We start from the raw sequence: 19,530 nt of genomic DNA, 5'->3' as shown, positions 1-19,530 counted from the left end.
TTTGCATCACTGGTCAGCTAAAAAGTCAGCATTCCCTGCTGTTTGGTTCACAAAGATGGAGAGCAAAGCTTTGTTTTCTGTGGCAGCAAGCGCTAATGCCCATGCAGGTCCAAGTACCAAAGAACATTATAAACCAAATGCTAATGGTGTTATTGAAGAACTCTGGCACTGCAGCCTGAATTTTGTCTTCTTTTTAGCTCTTTCCTCTGTTGGGGGTGACTACTGAGGCACTGGGTCTCTCTGCTAATGCTGAGTTATCCTCTCCCCAGCTCATACTGAAAACTAAGATACAACCTGGCCTCCTGAGTCTCTTGTATCGCCATTTAAAATCTAGATGGTCAGAGCTTTTCCCAGGCAAAAGAGAGATAAAGCATGAGCTACGGGAAAGTACTAAGAGTGCGGGAGGATTGACCTAGGCATGACTGAGCCTGATGTGGTTGAGAAGGTCTGGGACACTGCCCATTTCTGGTAGAATGGAGGGGAAAGAGATTGTCAGATGTCTCCACCATTGGATACCGCATATCTATCAAAAACGAATTGAGCACAGATAGTGATAGAGGTGCCCTCTCTAAACCACTCTTCTACTACCTGTGATCTCTGTTTCCACTTTGAAAACTGGAGACAAAATCAGGTCCCTTCTAAATGTTCACTGAGGACAGTAGTTTCAGTTTCAAATGCTGAGCAATCTGAGGGATTTGGGGGAGACATGGTCAGAACCCTAAAGAATCCAAGCTCTAGCAGGGCCATAGCAATGGTACCCATCGAAGATTCTTGCCTTTCTGACTTCTGTCTTGTTCCATTTTTCCAAATAGGAAAAAGAAGACAAACAAGGGCCCCGCTGTGGGTATCTACAATGACAACATCAATACTGAGATGCCGAGGCAGCCAAAAAAGTTTCAGAAAGGGCGAAAGGACAATGACTCCCATGTGTATGCAGTCATCGAGGACACCATGGTATATGGGCATCTGCTACAGGATTCCAGCGGCTCCTTCCTGCAGCCAGAGGTGGACACCTACCGGCCGTTCCAGGGCACCATGGGGGTCTGTCCTCCCTCCCCACCCACCATATGCTCCAGGGCCCCAACTGCAAAGTTGGCCACTGAGGAGCCACCTCCTCGCTCCCCTCCTGAGTCTGAGAGTGAACCGTACACCTTCTCCCATCCCAACAATGGGGATGTAAGCAGCAAGGACACAGACATTCCCTTACTGAACACTCAGGAGCCCATGGAGCCAGCAGAATAACTTGATCCATTCCAGACGCTTTGCTGAGTTTCATAAAGCAGGGCACTGAGACACCCGTCCGTGTTCCTAACCAGAAATCCTAAAGAAGAGGAATTATACAGAAGGAACAGCAGGAGGTTTTCCTGGACACCGCCAACTTCACATTGCTCAGTGGACTCATTCTAAGGGCAAGACATTGAAAATGATGAATTCCAATCTGGATACAGTCATGACAGCTCATGTGCTCCTCAACTTAGGCTGTGCGGTTAGCCAGCCTGTAATGAGAGGAGAGAGGCCTGAGTCACCTAGCATAGGGTTGCAGCAAGCCCTGGATTCAGAGTGTTAAACAGAGGCTTGCCCTCTTCAGGACAACAGTTCCAATTCCAAGGAGCCTACCTGAGGTCCCTACTCTCACTGGGGTCCCCAGGATGAAAACGACAATGTGCCTTTTTATTATTATTTATTTGGTGGTCCTGTGTTATTTAAGAGATCAAATGTATAACCACCTAGCTCTTTTCACCTGACTTAGTAATAACTCATACTAACTGGTTTGGATGCCTGGGTTGTGACTTCTACTGACCGCTAGATAAACGTGTGCCTGTCCCCCAGGTGGTGGGAATAATTTACAATCTGTCCAACCAGAAAAGAATGTGTGTGTTTGAGCAGCATTGACACATATCTGCTTTGATAAGAGACTTCCTGATTCTCTAGGTCGGTTCGTGGTTATCCCATTGTGGAAATTCATCTTGAATCCCATTGTCCTATAGTCCTAGCAATAAGAGAAATTTCCTCAAGTTTCCATGTGCGGTTCTCCTAGCTGCAGCAATACTTTGACATTTAAAGAGAAATTTAGAGAATATTCTCATCCTCTAAAAATGTTTAAATATATACCAAACAGTGGCCCCCTGCATTAGTTTTCTGTTGCCACTGCAACCTATTACTTGGTAGCTTAAAAACAACACATTAGCTTATAGTCCTGGGGATCAGAATTCCAAAATGGATGTCCCTGAATGAAAATCAAGGTGTCAGCAGAGCTGTGCTCCTTCTGAAGGCTCTAGGGAGAAGCCGGTTCCTTGCCATTTCAAGCTTCTAGAGGCTGGCTGCATTCCCAGGCTCCAGTGGCTGGTCAAGCTTTTCTCACATGGCATCACTGTGACACTGGCCCTCCCACTTCCCTCTTTGACTTACAAAGCCCACCAGGAAGATCCAGGATAATCTCTCCATCTAAAGTTCCTTCATCATCCTGGAAGAGCCTTTTGCCATGCAAGACAACATAGCCACAGGTGGGGATTAGGACCAGAACATCTTTGGGGTGCTGTTATTCTGCCTACCACACCTTCCTGCCACTGACTCCCACAGGAGAGGCTACAAAATGATCTGGCGCACAGGGATGTTTTGTTTAGCTTGCGGACTCTAACACTTAAAAAAAAACCCAGATCAGAAGATCTGGCCATGCTGGGGCTCACATTCTCACCTAGCAACAACTGGCTGGAGCTGGGCACCAGCTCTGCCTTTAGAAGGGGTGTCCACTTCACCAGGTCACCACAGCCCACACTACGCCCTATCACTTCCCACAATGAGGCTGAGTGTTTGTTTCTACTGATCAATGCCCCTGCAGGTTGCATTTATTGTAATGAAAAAGAAAGACTGGGATTAATCTCTAATCAGGTGAGTAGACCATGAGACCAATGTGTGCTCACATTACCCTTTTTCTTTTTTTTCTTTTTCTTTTTCTTTTTTTTTTTAATGTGAGACAGGATCTCATTCTGTTGCCTAGGCTGGAGTGCAGTGGCGCAATCTCGGCTCACTGCAACCTCTGCCTCCTGGGCTCAAGCAATTCTCCCACCTCAGCCTCCCAAATAGCTGGGATCACTGGCACAAACCACCATGCCCAGCTAATTTTGTATTTTTTGTAGAGACAGGGTTTCACCATGTTGCCCAGGCTGGTCTCAACCTCCTGGGCTCAAGCAATCCTCCTGCCTCGGCCTCCCAAAGTGCTGGGATTACAGATGTGAGCCACCGCATCCAGCCCCACACCCTCATTTATACCAATTACCTGCCCAGTAACTGTGGACTTTTGCTTCCTCACCCCTGCTCTGATCTGGAAGGAGAGGGATTATGTTATAGCTTGTCAGCACAGTCCCAAGTTCAATATTTCTGCGGCAAAAACTTCCTTCAAAAAATAAATGTACTTCATTGTATTCAATGAATTCACCTTGGAAATGCACCGCCTCAACTTGTTCACATGGCATAAATGAAAGGAATTTTATAGTCTCCTAAATGGCGTGTACTGCAAGACCTCTTGAACACTTTCCAGAGGATAGGATATTTAAGTCATGCCCTTGGCGTTGCCTATGGCACCTTTCCCTTCTGAAAGTCTGGTTCCTGCCCAGTGACCCTTGGCCTTGTGAGCCGAGATGCTGACCCTGCATAAAGGGCCAAAGGAGGGCTGCGGCTTCCTTCCCTCACTGAAGAGCCCTTATTTGAATTCACTGTGTGGAGCCCTAGCCCTCCATTCTCGACATTCCCCAACCTCCCAGCCCCTTCCAAGCAGGACTAGGTGCCCTGCATTCCACCCAAGGTGGGATTGGCCTTCCTTAGGCTGGCTACTTGTCACCATCACCGACATCACTGTTGCCTGCAAGGACACCACGTGGCCATTTTCCTTCAACTGAGGGCTCAAAACTCCTGGACAAGTTGCTGGCTCCTGAGACCAGTATTTCCTGGAGCTGTGCCTCAGTGAAGGGGCCCAGCCTGAGGAACCCTGGCTCTTTTCTTTAAAGCCCAGGCCCCACTTACGTAAAACATTTCAGGGTCACTGGAAACAGTGAAGTGCCATTTGTTGAAGCCTACTGCATGCCAGCCCACTGCTCATCCACGTGGTCTGCCATGCCTACGAGGAAGGCCAGCGCATGCAGGACTGGTCTCTAATGCTGTGGTCATTGCACAGAAGGGAAAGGTCTCAAGGAAGAGTCAACTGGAACAAGCACAAGCCCACCGGACATGGCCTTGGTAAAGGTTAGCAGACTGGTGTGTGTGGATCTGCAGTGCTTCACTGGAAATAATTTATTCATTGCAGATACTTTTTAGGTGGCATTTTATTCATTTCCTGTGCTTTAAATAAACAAATGTACCAAAAAACAAGTATCAAGCTGTTTAAGTGCTTCGGCTACTTGTCCCCTGGTTCAGTAGAGGCCCCGGTTTCCCAGTTGTTGACTGTGACAGGCTCAGCATGGGCTCAGCAGATGCTGTCTTAATTTGTGGATGATACAGAAAGCCAGGCTTTGGGATACAAGTTCTTTCCTCTTCATTTGATGCCGTGCACTGTGTGAAGCAGATGTTTTTGTCCGGAAATAAAAATAATAGTCTTGGAGTCTCGCCACCACTGGTTTTCAAGTCTCCCTGTATGCAAGTGGAAGGAATGGAAGCTATGCCAATGGGTAGCTGAGAGGCCAGGGCTTGTTCTGTTCTGTTCTGTTCTTGTGGGGGCTACATGGGCCCCACCCTTTGTGACCTTTCCCAATACCTAACCCCCATAGAGGCCCAGGGCCACCCTAATCACTGACCACAGTTGATCTCTAAGCCCCGTGGAGGTCACCAGCCACCAGAACAAAAGTTAAGGGAGAGCAGTGAGAGAGGGAAGTTCCCATGGCCCCCACCATCTGCCATGCACTAGGAGGGGAGACCCAAGCACATTGGATTGAATCCACCGAGAAAACCAGATGTTGCTGTGTAATGAGCCACCCCAAAATTTAGTTAACAATTAGTAGTTTTGCTCACAAACCTGTAATTAGAGCAGGGTTCAGCAGGGACTGTATATCTCTCCTCCATGTGGCCACAGCTTGGGCAGCATAATTAGAATCCTCTTTCAAGTGGGCTCCATGACACTGCTGACAAGTTAGTGCTGGCTATTGGCTGGGAGCTTTGACTCCTGGTCACTTGGACCACTGCACAGGGCTTCTTCACAACATGGTGGCTGGGTTCCACAACTGAGTGCTCCCAGATTCTAAAGGTCAGAACAGCCAGTCTCTCAGAGGCTGGAACTGGACACTGGCATGACATTACTTCCATTCTATTCCTTTTTTTTTTTTTTTTTTTTTTTTTGAGACAGGTTCTCACTCTCTTGCCCCAGCTGGAGAACTCCTGGGCTTAAAGCGATCCTCCCACTTCAGCCTCCCGAGTAGCTGGGACTACAGCCATGCACTACCATGCCCAGCTAAACTTCCATTCTATTCTATGGGGGGCATTAGTCACAGAACCTACTCCGATTTACATGGAGGAAGCAAAGATTCCCCCACCCCATCTCAGTGGGAGAGGTGTCAAAGAATTTGCAGCCATCTGTAATAGGCTTCAGTGGGGCTGGGGAGATCACAGCCAAGTACCATGCCTGTGGACAGCACTGACCACCTTCACTACTGCGTCCTTGATCACCATGACCACATCTGGGCTGCATCCCACCTCTGACTGCCCCTTCTCCTGGATCCTGTTCCCAGGACTCAAGGTTCAGTCTTTGGTCTTCTGGCCTTTTCTCTCTGGACACTGCCCCATAGGGAGGGTACTGTCTTAGTCCATTTGTGTTGCTATAAAGGGATACATAAGCCTGGGTAATTTATGAAGAAAAGAGGTTTATTTGGCTCATGATTCTGCAGGCTGTACAGGAAGCATGAAACCCAGCATCTGCAACTGATGAGGGCCTCAGGCTACTTCCCCTCATGGCAGAAGACAAAGGGGAGCCTGCATGTGCAGAAATCACATGGTGAGAGAGGAAGGGAGAGAATGGCAGGGGAAGGGGTGGCGCTAGGCTGTTTTCAACAACCAGCTCTTGAGAGAACTAAGAGAGGAAGAACTTGCCGTGGACCCAGGAAAGGCATTAACCTATTCTGAATGGCTATACAAGATTACATCTTCTAAGGTCACTTCACGCTCTAGAATGCTTTGATTCCTCCAGTCACCCAGGCCCAGAATATTGGACCTAACTTCATTTCATCCCTGTCACTCACCCTGATTGTTCTAGATTCTCCTCCCATCCAACATCCCCCTCTATTCCACCATTCCTTTTTCATCATGTGACTCCCTCACTCTGAAATCTGTGCCTCCAGACTTGGTTGGCCCTTAGAACAGAATCCTTGGTCTTTTGCTGGTGGTGTGGCACCTCCAGTCCACTGCCTGGCCCTCCTAACCTCTTCAGACCTCTCTCCGCCCACTTCATCCATGACTTCAAAACTCTATTCCAGTGGGGCTCTGAATCCACTCCTGCCCACACCTTGCTCTTGCCCACACCTTGCTCTTGCCCACACCTTGCTCTTGCCATTGTTCCTGGACAACTCACAGCAAAAGCTGCCCACCTTCCATGCCTTACCAGCACTTCAGAGTCTATCACAGAGCCCATTTTCTCCAGGAAGCCCTCCAACTCTGCTAAGCTCTCCTTCTAAATCCCAATAGTCCTTTTGATTCATAATTCTTCTGCATGTAGCTGTATTAGTTTCATAATTTAAAAAGCTTGTGCTTGTGTGTCTTTTGCTTAACCAAGATGCTACTTTTTTCAGAGGTAGAGGTCCATGTCTTGTACTTAGTCCATCTGTCTCACATTGTCCAATGCAGTGGGTGCCCTAGAAATTATGTCTGTTACATTTAATTGTCAGAAACATGTTGTACTTCAGCTATGACTTCAGGCAGGTGTTATACTGGAGGCTTCCAGATGGCAAGGAGGAAGTAGATGTCAGGCAAGTGCCCTGTGTTTTACAAACCTTATCTCATGTCACCAATTAATATCCTAGCAGCAAAGCTTATTTTCAGCTTACTGGTGAAAGAAGGCCCAGCAAGGTGAAGTCACGAGCCCAGGGTCACAGAGCAGCAAGAGGCAGGGCAGCAACCATACAGCCTTTCCACAGTGCTCTGCTACTCAGCTAGGCCATGAGACTGGGTTCTCCTGGGAGCCACAGTCGGGAGAGTGGCTGCCGAGGAGTCTGGTGGACCCCAGGGCTTCCTAGATAGTGTTTGTCTCTTTTTCTTTCCTTCAGGAGGCCACAAGTTTGAGGTGGAGGAGGTCTCAGGGACACTGAAGCACAATATCTAGTCCTAGGCACAAGATTAAATATTCTAAGGCCACTTCTAACTCTAGAATGCTTTGATTCCTCCAGTCACCCAGGTCCAGAATATTGAACCCAACTTTGGTTCATCCCTGTCACTCATCCTGATTGGCATTTCTGCTTCCACCTATATGCCCTGCCCTTTCTGGACTTTGTGTTGGCAGCTCCTCCCCCAGGTCAGGGATACTTGGGGATCTGATGTTAAAGCCACAGGGCAAAGCACCTATAGCCCTCCAGGCTGCTGCCAAACCTGTCTCCTTTACCCTCGCCCTGCCCTTCAGACCCAGCCTCTCATGGACTTCTGTTCCCCACGGAAGAGGGGAGTCCTGTTCACATCTGTGTGGTCTCTGGGATCATCTCTAATCAGTGCCACATCAAGGCATCCTCAGCCAGTCCTGGGGAGCCTGCAAACGACACCCAACCTCACAGCTCACTGTTCTGTTTGGGCGGTTCACAAGGCTGTTTCTTGGCTTTAAACGTGCTTATGACGAAATGAGAAAGGTGGAACTCAGCCTCCTGCTGGCCAATTCTCTCCTAGCCTCAGGCTTCATAAGAACAATTTTTTTTTTTTTTTGAGACAGAGTCTCGCTCTATTGCCCAGGCTGAAGTGCAGTGGCATGATCTTGGCTCACTGCAACCTCCACCTCCCAGGTTCAAGCGATTCTCATGCCTCAGCCTCCTGAATGGCTGGGATTACAGGTGTGCCCCACCACGCCTGGCTAATTTTTGTATTTTTAGTAGAGGCAGGCTTCACCATGGCCAGGCTCAAACTCCTGACCTCAGGTGAGTCTGCCTGCCTTCACCCAGCAAAGTGCTGGGATTACAGGCATGAGCCCCTGTACCCAGCCTTAAGAACCTCCTAATGATCCCATGAGTTATATGGATGAACCAGCACGGCCTCTTCTCTGCCCTTTAATGTAGGTGTATTAGTCCGTTTTCATGCTGCTGATAAAGACATACCTGAGACTGGGAAGAAAAAGAGGTATAGTTGGACTTGCAGTTCCACATGGCTGGGGAGGCCTCAGAATCATGGTGGAAGGTTAAAGGCACTTCTTACATGGCAGTGGCAACAGAAAAATGATGAAGATGCAAAAGCAGAAACCCCTGACAAAACCATCAGGTCTTGTAAGACTTACTCACTACCATGGGAACAGTATAGGGAAAACTGCCCCCATGATTCAAATTATCTCCCACCAGGTCCCTCCCACAACATGTGGGAATTATGGGAGTACAATTCAAAATGAGATCTAGGTGGGGACACAGAGCCAAACCATATCATCCCACCCCTGGCCCCTCCAAATCTCATGTCCTCACATTTCAAAACCAATCATGCCTTCCCAACAGTCCCCCAAAGTCTTAACTCATTTCAGCATTAACCCAAAAGTCCACAGTCCAAAGTCTCATCTGAGACAAGGCAAGTCTCTTCCACCTATGAGCCTGTAAAATCAAAAGCAAGCTAGTTACTTCCTAGACACAATGGGGGTACAGGTATTGAGTAAATACAGCCATTTCAAATGGGAGAAATTTGTCAAAACAAAGGGATTATAGGCCCCATGCAAGCCTGAAATCCAGTGGGGCAGTCAAATCTTAAAGCTCCAAAATGATCTTCTTTGACTCCATGTCTCACATCCAGGTCATGCTGAAACAAGAGGCGGGTTCCCATGGTCTTGGACAGCTCTGCCCCTGTGGCTTTGCAGGATACAGCCTCCCTCCTGGCTGCTTTCATGGGCGAGCGTTGAGTCTGCGGTCTGCGGCTTTTCCAGGTGCACAGTGCAAGCTGTCAGTGGGTCTACCATTTTGGGGTCTGGAGGACAGTGGCCCTCTTCTCACAGCTCCACTAGGCAGTGCCCCAGTAGGGACTCTCTGTGGGGGCTCCAACCCCACATTTCCCTTCTGCACTGCTCTAGCAGAGGTTCTCCATGAGAGCCCCGCCCCTGCAGCAAACTTCTGCCTGCACAGCCAGGCGTTTCCATACATCCTCTGAAATCTAGGCTGAGGTTCCCAAACCTCAGTTCTTCACTTCTGTGCACTTGCAGGCTCAACACCATGTGGAAGCTGCCAAGCCCTGGGACTTGCACCCTTTGAAGCCACAGCCCACGCTCTACATTGGCCCCTTTCAGCCATAGCTGAAGTGGCTGGGATGCAGGGCACCAAGTCCCTAGACTGCACACAGCACAGGTACCCTGGGCCTGGCCCTCAAAACCATTTTTTTCCTCCTAGGCCTCTGGGCCTGTGATGGGAGGGGCTGCCATGAAGACCTTTGATATGCCCTGGAGACATTTCCCCATTGTCTTGGGGATTAACATTCGGCTCCTCATTACTTATGCAAATTTCTGCAGCTTTCATGAATTTCTCCTCAGAAAATAGATTTTTCTTTTATACTGCATTTTCAGGCTGCAAACTTTCCAAACTTTTATGTTCTGCTTCCTTATTAAAACTGAATGCCTTAAATAGCACCCAAGTCACCTCTTGAATGCTTTGCTGCTTAGACATTTCTTCCACAGATACCCTAAATCACCTCTCTCAAGTTCAAAATTCCACAAATCTCTACAGCAGGGGCAAAATGCCACCAGTCACTTTGCTAAAACATAACAAGAGTCATCTTTGCTCCACTTCCCAACAAGTTCCTCATCTCCATCTGAGACTACCTCAGCCTGGACTTTATTGTCCATATTGCTATCAGCATTTTGGGCAAAGGCATTCAACAAGTCTCTAGAAAGTACCAAACTTTCCCACATTTTCTTGTCTTTTTTTGAGCCCTCCAAACTGTTCCAACCTCTGCCTGTTACCCAGTTCCAAAGTTGCTTCCACATTTTTGGGTATCTTTTCAGAGGCACCCCTTCTGCTGGTACCAAGTTACTGTATTAGTCCATTTTCATGCTGCTGATAAAGACATACCCGAGACTGGGAAGAAAAAGAGGTTTAATTGGACTTACAGTTCTGCATGGCTGGGGAGGCCTCAGAATCATGGTGGGAGGCAAAAGGCTCTTCTTAACATGGTGGTGGCAAGAGAAAAATGAGGAAGATGCAAAAGCAGAACCCCCTGATAAAACCATCAGATCTCATGAGACTTATTCACTACCATGCGAACAGTATGGGGGAAACCACCCTCATGATTTAAATTATCTCCCACCAAGTCCCTCCCACAACACGTGGGAATTATGGGAGTACAATTCAAGATGAGATCTGGTGGGGACACGAGCTAAACCATGTCAGTAGGGACACAGATCTAAACCATGTCAGTAGGTAACTGCAAGAGCTAGACTATGGTCATTTGAGACCCAGCCAACAAACAAGCCTAGGAAAAGATTAGCTATAGTCTACAGGACTCAGAAAGAGGGAAGATCTGAAACTGATGTAAGAAAAGAGCTCCCCACCCCAGCCTTCTGCCCAGGCCAGCAGCAGTGCAGCAGCAGCAAACGCTCTCGCCTTTGTTCCCTCTCCCATTTTCAACACTCTGACTGCCCAGCCCGCATCCTCAAGACCCAGGAGGCAGCTTCGTGGTCATGTAACCTACGCGTTACACAGAGCCTGCAACTCGGAAGGGCCCCACACTTGGTCTCTGCTGTTGCCAGCTCAAAATTCTTAATAATTTTTGAACAAGGGACCCAGTGTTTTTATTTTGCCCTGGGCTCTGGCAAATTAAGTAGCCAGGCCTTTTCAGAGGATGAGGCAGTCTCTGAGAGGTTAAACAACCTGTCTGGGGCTTCACAACTAAGAGACAGACCGAGATTTGAGTCCTAGTGTGTCTTAAACTCCATCAGCCTCTTTCTTCAGGGTGCTGGCCTCTGCTTGCTCACCCAAACTTTCCACTCCTGTGCACATGATTTTTAAACTCTATCAACGGGCCTTCTGTGCCACACCTTTATAAGCTGGCTAAAACTCATTTGGCTGATCATCTAAAAAGAGAACGTTTGTAAATTGGCCTATAGACAGAATAGGTCTATTTAGACAGGATGGACTACAGAACTGCTTATGTTCAAGACAGTAGCCAGCAGCTACATGTGGCTATTTAAACTTCAGTATTTATTTAATTAAAATTTCATTAAATTTGGTGCTAACGAATACATCAAAATACACTGGGTTTCCTTTTTCAAATTAAGTGTGCATGATTGTATATGGAAGAGACTAAGGTCCCAGGGTAGGAAAACTAAGAAAAGGGATATGGAGTTCTTACTTGACTTGAATATGCATCTGAGGGTGCTTTGTGTGAATACATTGCACACTACAGCATCTTATTTCTTTTTTTGAGTTGAGTTTCAATAAAATACAATTCTTCACCCTTCTAAAAAAATGTAATTCCTCAGTTGCACTAGCCACATGTTCAAGCTTTCAGTAGCTATATGTGGCTAAGTGGCTACTATATTGAACAGCACAAATATAGAACATCTCTGTCATCACAGAAAATGCAATTGAACAGGGCTAATATAGCAAATGTGTGTGTGTGTGTAGTGTGTGTTCCATGTATTGAATGATTACTATGTACCAAGAACTCTTCTAAAATATTTATACGAACAGTTTTATTGAATCCTCATATTTAATTTTCAGTCCTTATCTTACTTGACACAGTATTTAACACCATCTCTCACTCTCTCTTCCATGAGACATTTCCTTCTCTTGGCCACCACGGCCTCAGATTTGTTGGTTGTCCTCCTTCCCCTCTGGCTTCTCCTTCTCAGTCTCCGTGGCTGGCTCCCCCTTTTCTCCCAATCTCTAAACATCAGAGGGCCCCATGGTTCAGTGCCCAGATTCTTCTCTTTTCTCTCCACACTTACTCATTTGGTGACTTTCTCCAGTCCCATGACGTTAAATACCATCCATGTCCCAATGGCTCCCAAAGTGGACCTATGCCCTGAATTCTGACCATGTATCCATCTCTGCTCGAGATTTCCAGCTGGTATCTAATGGCCATCTCTAATTTGAAATATACACAACTGATCTTCTGTTGTTCCCCTCAAACCTGTTCCTCCGGTTGGTAGGGAGGCTAGAGGAAACAAGTTTGCTCCAAATCAGTTGATGGCAGCTCCGTCCTTCCAAAAACTTTAGAGTTCTCTCTGACTCCTCTCTCTCTCACATCCTATATCCAGTCCATAGGGGACCTTAACGGTTCTCCCTGACATGACGAATCCCCCTTCTTCCTACTTCCACCACTTTCACTTGGTTCACACCAACATCCTCTCTCACTTAGATGATGCAGGCTCTGTGCTTCCACCTAAATCAGTCTCTGTGCTTCCACCTCCGCCCTCTTCAGCCTCATCTCAAGACAGTAGCACAGTGATTCTCTTTGTATATAAAGCAGATCTTGCAACTTCCCTGCCCAGAACCTGCCTGTGGCCACAACTCACTCACAGCAGAAGCCAAAGTTCTTCCTATGGTCCACAAGGCCTTGCTAGTCCTGGCTCCATCGCCTCTTTAACAACAGTTCCTGCCGGGTACTCTGTCAACCATCCTGCTTCACCCAGTCCAAGCCCTTGACTATCCTCGAACACTCTGACCTCACAGCCTTTGCATTTGCTGTTCTCTCTGCCGGGAGAGAACAGCTTGTCCACCAGATACCCCCTGACTCTCTCTTACTAAGTCTTTACACAAATGTCACCTTAATTTCTCCAGTGAAATCCCATATGGCTTCGCTGGTGACACTCTCTAAAATGTCAAGCCTTTCCCTGACCTCCACACTTCATATCCATCTTCCCTGCTTTATTTTTACTCCTTAGTATTTATTACCATGTAACAAACTATATATTTTATTTATTTATCTTACTTATTGTTGGTCTTCCAGCTGAATTACAAGCTTCATGAGGCAGGAACTGCTGGTATGTTTTGCTCATCCCCATCCCCAGGACTTGCAATAGTACCTGGCACGTGGATAGGTTCAGGTTCATGCAACAAAAACCAATAGTGACCTAAACAAGATAGAGGCTATTTTTTTTTAACATATATGCCACTCAACAGTGGAACCTAGGCCCCTATCTCTTTCTCCTTCACCATCCTGACTGTGACAACTACCATGAAAATTGCCTCGTGATCTCATTATTGATGCCAGAGCTCCAGCTGTCACACACACATTCCAGGCAGGAAGAAGAGAGGTGGGGGCAAAAGGACATCTACTTTTCAACTGAAGCTGTCTCCATTAAAAGTTTTCTTGTAGTCCAGGCACACTGGCTCACTTCTGTAACCAGCACTTTGGGAGCCAAAGTGGATGAATCTCTAGAGCCCAGAAGTTCAAGACCAGCCTGGGCAACATGGTGAAACCCCATCTCTACAAAAAATTAAAAAATTAGGAGGGCATGATGGTGCACACATGTAGTCACAGCTACTCAGACACTGAGGTGGGAGGATCACCTGAGCCCAGGAATGTTGAGACTGCAGTGAGCCATGATCGTGCCACTGCACTCCAGCCTAGGTGACAGAGTGAGATGAGATCCTGTCTCAAAAAAAAAGAACTTTCTTGTAAGCCCCACTCAGTAACTTTGAATTACACCTCATCTCTATCTTTAAGGACAACTGGAAAATTAGCTAGGTACATTGGAGACTGTGGCAAGGTCGATTGCAAGAGGGGAATGAGAGAAGGAATGAAGGGATACGGGTAGGCAACTTGGCATCTTTGCTTCAGTCCCTGTTTCTTATGTTTGTTTGTTTGTATTTAAGTGTGACTGTAAATCCTTCCAAGTCGTGCAGCATTTGTTTCCAGCATAATGCAAAAATCATATTTGCTTAGATGTCTAAACTCCCTTCATTCAAACATGTTTTCATACAACTAATTTTTTTCCTCAGTTGCCTGCCTTATCAACTTAAAGAGCTTCTAAAGAGATTTGCCCCACATCTCACTTTTCTAAGCTGATTAGAGACCACTAAATATCACTGTGTGTTTCTGATAGTTTTGTCCTGTTTTTTATATACTAGTGCAATGTCTCCACTAAAAGATAGTGTCATTCAGCATTTAACAATTTTTTCAGGCTGGGTGCGGTGGCTCACGCTTGTAATCCCAACACTTTGGAGACCAAGGTGGGCGGAACACTTGAGGTCAGGAGTTCGAGACCAGCCTGGCCAACATGGTGAAACCTCATCTCTACTAAAAAATATATATATATAAAAAATAGCCAGGCATGGTGGCAGAGCCTGTAATCCCAACTACTTGGGAGGCTGAGGCAGGAGAATCACTTGAACTCAGGAGGCAGAGGTTACAGTGAGTCAAGATCGTGCCACTGCACTCCAGCCTACGTGACAGTGCAAAGCTCTGCCTCAAAAAAATAAAAATTTTTTCAAACGTGAAAATGAGCGTGTTTTTGGCAGGCTTCAAATGAGGACCATCGTTTAATACAAACACAGTTCATCATAACATCATAAAATGATCTTGAGTCGCATTGTAACATGGTACTATTTCATTTTGTTTCGTTTTATTATTTTACAGGCATTAAGTACCCCAAAGTACAATCTGTCACTGAAAGTCTATGGATGATCAAAAAGAGCCATGGTCACCAATGAGACCCAAGTGAGCTCACTGGACAATGAACAAGCTAATTAGAACTGTTTATCTACATGAGAGCTTTCATCAGATTACTGAGTTAACCTTTATTTTACTCAACACTGAGCAGGGCCTGAGTCCATGGAGACTCAAGGCCTCTTTAAGGCTTACTTGAGTGCAATGTTTGTGCTTCAGTAGGAAAGAACAGCTTCTAGATGTTTTCTGTCCTAAACCAGCTGGTATCCCATTCCATGGCCTGGAGTATCTCAGTGTCGTTTCTCAAACCTGTGTCCAAATTACCTGGGTTTCTTATATAAAAGGCAAATTCCTGGGCCCCACACAGAGTCAGAATCTCTGGACTGGAGTCCAGACATTTCCAACAAGCTTCCCATCCTTGGACAACTTTCTTCAGAAAGGGGACCCTACAGGGGGTGCCCATCCAGGATCTCGTTTCTCATCTGAAACTATCCGAGGCACTCCTCGGGCATGGGCTGAAGCTACTTGCACCAAATCCAGAGCCACCTGGTGCCTCTGCAGAGACTCAGTGTCACCCACCAAAACTGCAAATGCTAAATTAGGGACCACTTCTCAGAGAGCAGAGGATCAATTTCATATTCAACCTGTAAGTGTCTCCTGGCATTGGCCTAAAGCAAAGTCCTGGGTTGCAGATAATGGCCTCAAGTGCAGACCTGGAACTCTCATAGCCAAACAGTGAGGGCTGCTCCAAGCACTCAAACCATCTCTGTGCAGGTGATTGGAAACCATATTGGACTACAAGAAGACTTTTAGTGGAGGCAGCTTCAGCTGAAAAGTAAGTGTCCTTTTGCCCCCACCTCTCTTCTTCCTGCCTGGAATGTGTGTGTGACAGCTGGAGCTCTGGCATCAATAATGAGATCATGAGGCAATTTTCATGGTAGAAGTCACAGTCAGGATGATGAAAGAGAAGAGATAGGGGCCTAGGTTCCACTATTGAATGGCATATATGTTTAAAAAAAAAAAAGCCTCTATCTTGTTTATGTCACTATTGGTTTTTGTTTCATGAACCTGAACCTATCCATGTGCCAGGTACTATTGCAAGTCCTGGGGATGGGGATGAGCAAAACATACCAACAGTTCCTGCCTCATGAAGCTTGTAATTCAGCTGGAAGACCAACAATAAGTAAGATAAATAAATAAAATATATAGTTTGTTACATGGTAATAAGTACTAAGGAGTAAAAATAAAGCAGGGAAGGGGCTGGACAATACCCTGCCATTTGCCTGAGATCAGTCACTTTTCCAAAGTTTTACCACTTAAATATGACCCTATAAGATCTTCAAAGTGCCCTTTTTTTCCTTTTTCTTTTCTTCTAAAAAAAAAAAAAATTTCCAGCTGGGCACAGTGGCTCATGCCTGTCTGTAATCCCAGCACTTTGGGAAACTGAGATGGGTGGATTGCTTGAGCCCAGGAGTTCGAGACCAGCCTGGGAAACGTGGCAAAATCCCATCTCTATAAAAAATACAAGCCAGGTGTGGTGGTGCAGCCTGTGGTCCCAGCTACTCGGGAGGCTGAGGCCGGGGGAGGCCTGGGCTGGAGCCAGGTTGCAGTGAGCCAAGATCACATCACTGAACTCCAGCCTGGGCAACAGAGTGAGACCCTGTCTCAAAAAAATAAAATAAAAATAAAAATAGTAACAATTTAGAAAAATTTTTTTCAATCTTTCAGAAATTGTTTCACATTCAAGTATGGAAATCTTCTAACATACACTAAAGTAGAGAAAAGAGTAAAATGAACACTAATATATCCATCACTCAGCCTCAACAATTATCAGCACTTTATTATCCTTGGTTCATCTGAGGTTCTTTTTATTTTCAGAATGAATACAGTATAATTCCATTTATAAAGAGTTCAAAACCAGTTAAAACTAAAAAAGTATATTTTAAAAATAACAGTGTATTGTTTAGGGAATCACTCATAGGCAGTAAAACTATAAAAGAGAAGCAAGGGAACACTTACTGCAACGGTAAGAGCAGTCCACCTGGGCAGACGAAGAAGCTAGATGCAAGCAGGGAGGGACACACAGGTGTCTTCTAAAGTTGTTTCCTAACAGGTTATGGGTAAATGTTGTTCATTTTGTTCTTCAAATATTACATATACGTTATACATTCTGCTGCATAATTATACATTTCATGGTAAAGCAAATGAAAAAACATATCAAATATCTACTCTATGGAAAGGTACTGTGGATGTTAAAATGACTCAGATTCCATCTCCACTCTGCTAAAATTACTTTCACTGAGGTCAAAGACTTCAATGTCACTAAAGGGAATAAACATTTTCAATTCTCATTTTCTTTGGTGTCTCAGCAGCATTCAACTCTGCTGACCATTATTCTCCTTGAAACAGTATATTCCCTTGGTTTTCATAAAACCATATTCTCCTGACCATTCCTTCTGAGTCTCCTTCAAAAGCTTGTCTCCTACCACCTAAACCTTAAATACTGGAGCTCCTTAAGGTACATCCATGAAACCCCATTTTTTTCATATGCTGTTCTTTCTCTCTAGACACTCACATCCATGCCTATGGCTTCAATTATCATCCATACATCAAAGATTTAGACCTCCAGCTCAGACCTCTCCTCTGAGTGATATATCCCATTATCTTGTCAACACCTTTACTTGAATATTTCAAAATATCTCAATTTTAACCTGTTAAAAATGAAACTCATGATTTCCCTGCAAAACACTTCTTCTAGTACTCTTTCTCAGTGAATGGCACTGCCAGTCATCCTTGACAATTTCACTTGATGAAAACAAATAGGCATTTGTTTTTCTTTCTATAGAATAAAATAGCTCACTTTCTTTTCTTCCTAGGAAAAGGTTGAAAATGAGGAAAGTAATTTTGGTGATGACTCTAAGTTGAAATAAAATCTGTCCAAAAAAACAAACAAACAAACAAACAAACAAAAACCCCACATCATCTGGTAATTTAGGTTTCCTACATAGAGGGAGCTCAATAAAGTTAGTTCCCTTCCCTCTAGTTAAGAGTTTTTCCAAAACATAACAGTAATTTATTTTCCTCTCTCCTTCTTCTAACCCCTTTATGTACATTTTCTTGTCTCTTCTTTCTACTTCATTTTTGCACACAATAGAGTATTAAATTGTTTCTGATTTTCTTCATTTCCTGTTTCTACTTTTTTCCTTATTTCCCTCATGGCCCACCTCTCTGTCACTGAATCGGAAGACGGTCCTTCAATCAACAAATATTTATCGAGCACTCTGGGATACAGCGATGAGCAAGATAAGGGTCCTGCTCTGATGTGTTTTATATCTGGAGTGGGGAACAAACAATTACAAAATAAACAGCATGAGCTAATTAAGGAATTAAAACTGAATGATATAGAGAGTAACTGGGTGGCTATCTTTGAGTGGTCAGGAAAGGCCTTTCTGAGGAGGTTATATTTAAATCTTTTTTAAAATTATTTTAGTTTATTTTTCCATGAGTTATTGGGATATAGGTGGTATTTGGTTACATGAGTAAGTTCTTTAGTGGTGATTCGTGAGATTTTGGTGCACCCATCACCTGAGCAGTATACACTGCACCATATTTGTAGTCTTTTATCCCTTGCCTCCTTTCCACTCTTTCCTCCAAGTCCCCAATGTCCGTTGTATTGTTCTTATGTCATCTGAGGTTCTTTTAACCACAACTCCATGCCTGGAATTGACTGGAATCTCAGAGGGGGAAAGACCTTGGCACACCAGTCATTGGTCACCTCTACTCACCTCCTGCCCCAACTCCTACCATAGAGCTTAGTAGTCACGGCATCCCTGGGACCTCAGGAAAATGTAGAGAACACAAATTACAATAGGCTTCCAGAATCTTGGAAAAGTTCATTCACCCCATGAAGTCAGCAAGCAATGTGGATTCAAACTATGTGACACTTCATCCCAGGCAACAGGATGACCTGTGACAAAGGATGACATAGATTAAACCTTCATTCACAGTGTACAATCGGCCTGGTTTCCCCCATCTCTCATCACCATAACAACCAGCATTCTATAATAAGTATCCAGTCACCTAGAGACATGGGAAAACAATGCAGCAAATGTTGCTATGTTCCAATTATGAAGCCTTGGGTTCCGAGAGGTCTTATATGGCAATCTCATCCTCTGCTTTTGGGTTCTTGATCTCATGACATGTAACACCCACCCATGAGCACAGAAAAATTCCCAGGCAGGTTTTTAGATGCCCCTGACATCTTGAAAGAAAGATAGTATCCAGAGCCACATGTGACTTCCCGAATAATCAGCATCAAAAGAGAAAGAGAGTACCAAAAGCACTTAGGTCTGGCAACCTCCGTAGAAGGAGGATGAGGAATCCTAGTTCTAACTCTTGGGATTATATTAATGTCATAAACTGAACAGAAAGTACGCTATGGCTTTATTACCCTATAGAACATTAACCAGGTTTGTGTACAACTTAAAATGTTTATTTTGGTGTGCCTTTCCCAATTCTTCATATGCTCTCAGAACCAGCTTTTCATCTTACTGTTTCCCTCATTGCTTAATGAATTAAATAAGCTCTGTGGCTCATGTTCATCCTATTTTGTATGAGTCGTATTTTTGACTTTTTTTACTTACACTTTGACACAAGAACTGTCCACTGAACCTGCTGCCACAGTAATGAATGAGCCTTGTCCTCAGCCCCCTCACTCAAAACCCCGAGTCCCCCAAGAGGATGTCTTGTTGGCTGAGTCTAGCTCATAAGGTCCACCCC

The 19,530-nt window shown here is 45.2% G+C and overlaps 1 protein-coding gene and 1 long non-coding RNA gene across 7 annotated transcripts in view; one reads left to right on the top strand and one right to left on the bottom strand.

The window, feature by feature from the left end:
• The window catches only part of CDCP1 (CUB domain containing protein 1), a 64,206-nt gene extending 59,603 nt beyond the window's left edge, over positions 1-4,603 (top strand). For all 5 annotated transcript variants that reach the window (XM_024453718.2, XM_011534024.2, XM_017007070.2 and 2 more), the window contains one exon: positions 813-4,603. In XM_024453718.2, the coding sequence (XP_024309486.1) occupies positions 813-1,242 (430 nt within the window). In that variant the 3' untranslated portion in view covers positions 1,243-4,603. The remainder of the gene's footprint in view (positions 1-812) is intronic.
• LOC124906233 (uncharacterized) lies at positions 4,305-18,723 on the bottom strand. Of its 2 annotated transcripts, XR_007095897.1 has the most exons (4): positions 18,537-18,723; positions 16,771-16,857; positions 5,006-5,227; positions 4,305-4,623 (listed from the first exon to the last, which is right to left on the bottom strand). It is a non-coding gene; the product is annotated as an uncharacterized LOC124906233 (long non-coding RNA). The 2 variants fall into 2 exon arrangements; XR_007095898.1 differs by lacking the exon at positions 16,771-16,857.
• Between the last annotated feature and the right edge of the window lie 807 nt (positions 18,724-19,530).

The sequence above is a fragment of the Homo sapiens genome, chromosome 3 (genome assembly GCF_000001405.40).
Source record: "Homo sapiens chromosome 3, GRCh38.p14 Primary Assembly".
NCBI lineage: Eukaryota > Metazoa > Chordata > Mammalia > Primates > Hominidae > Homo > Homo sapiens.
The sequence above is the reverse complement of the archived record's forward strand: the minus strand, read 5'-3'. Positions and strand labels throughout refer to the sequence as shown.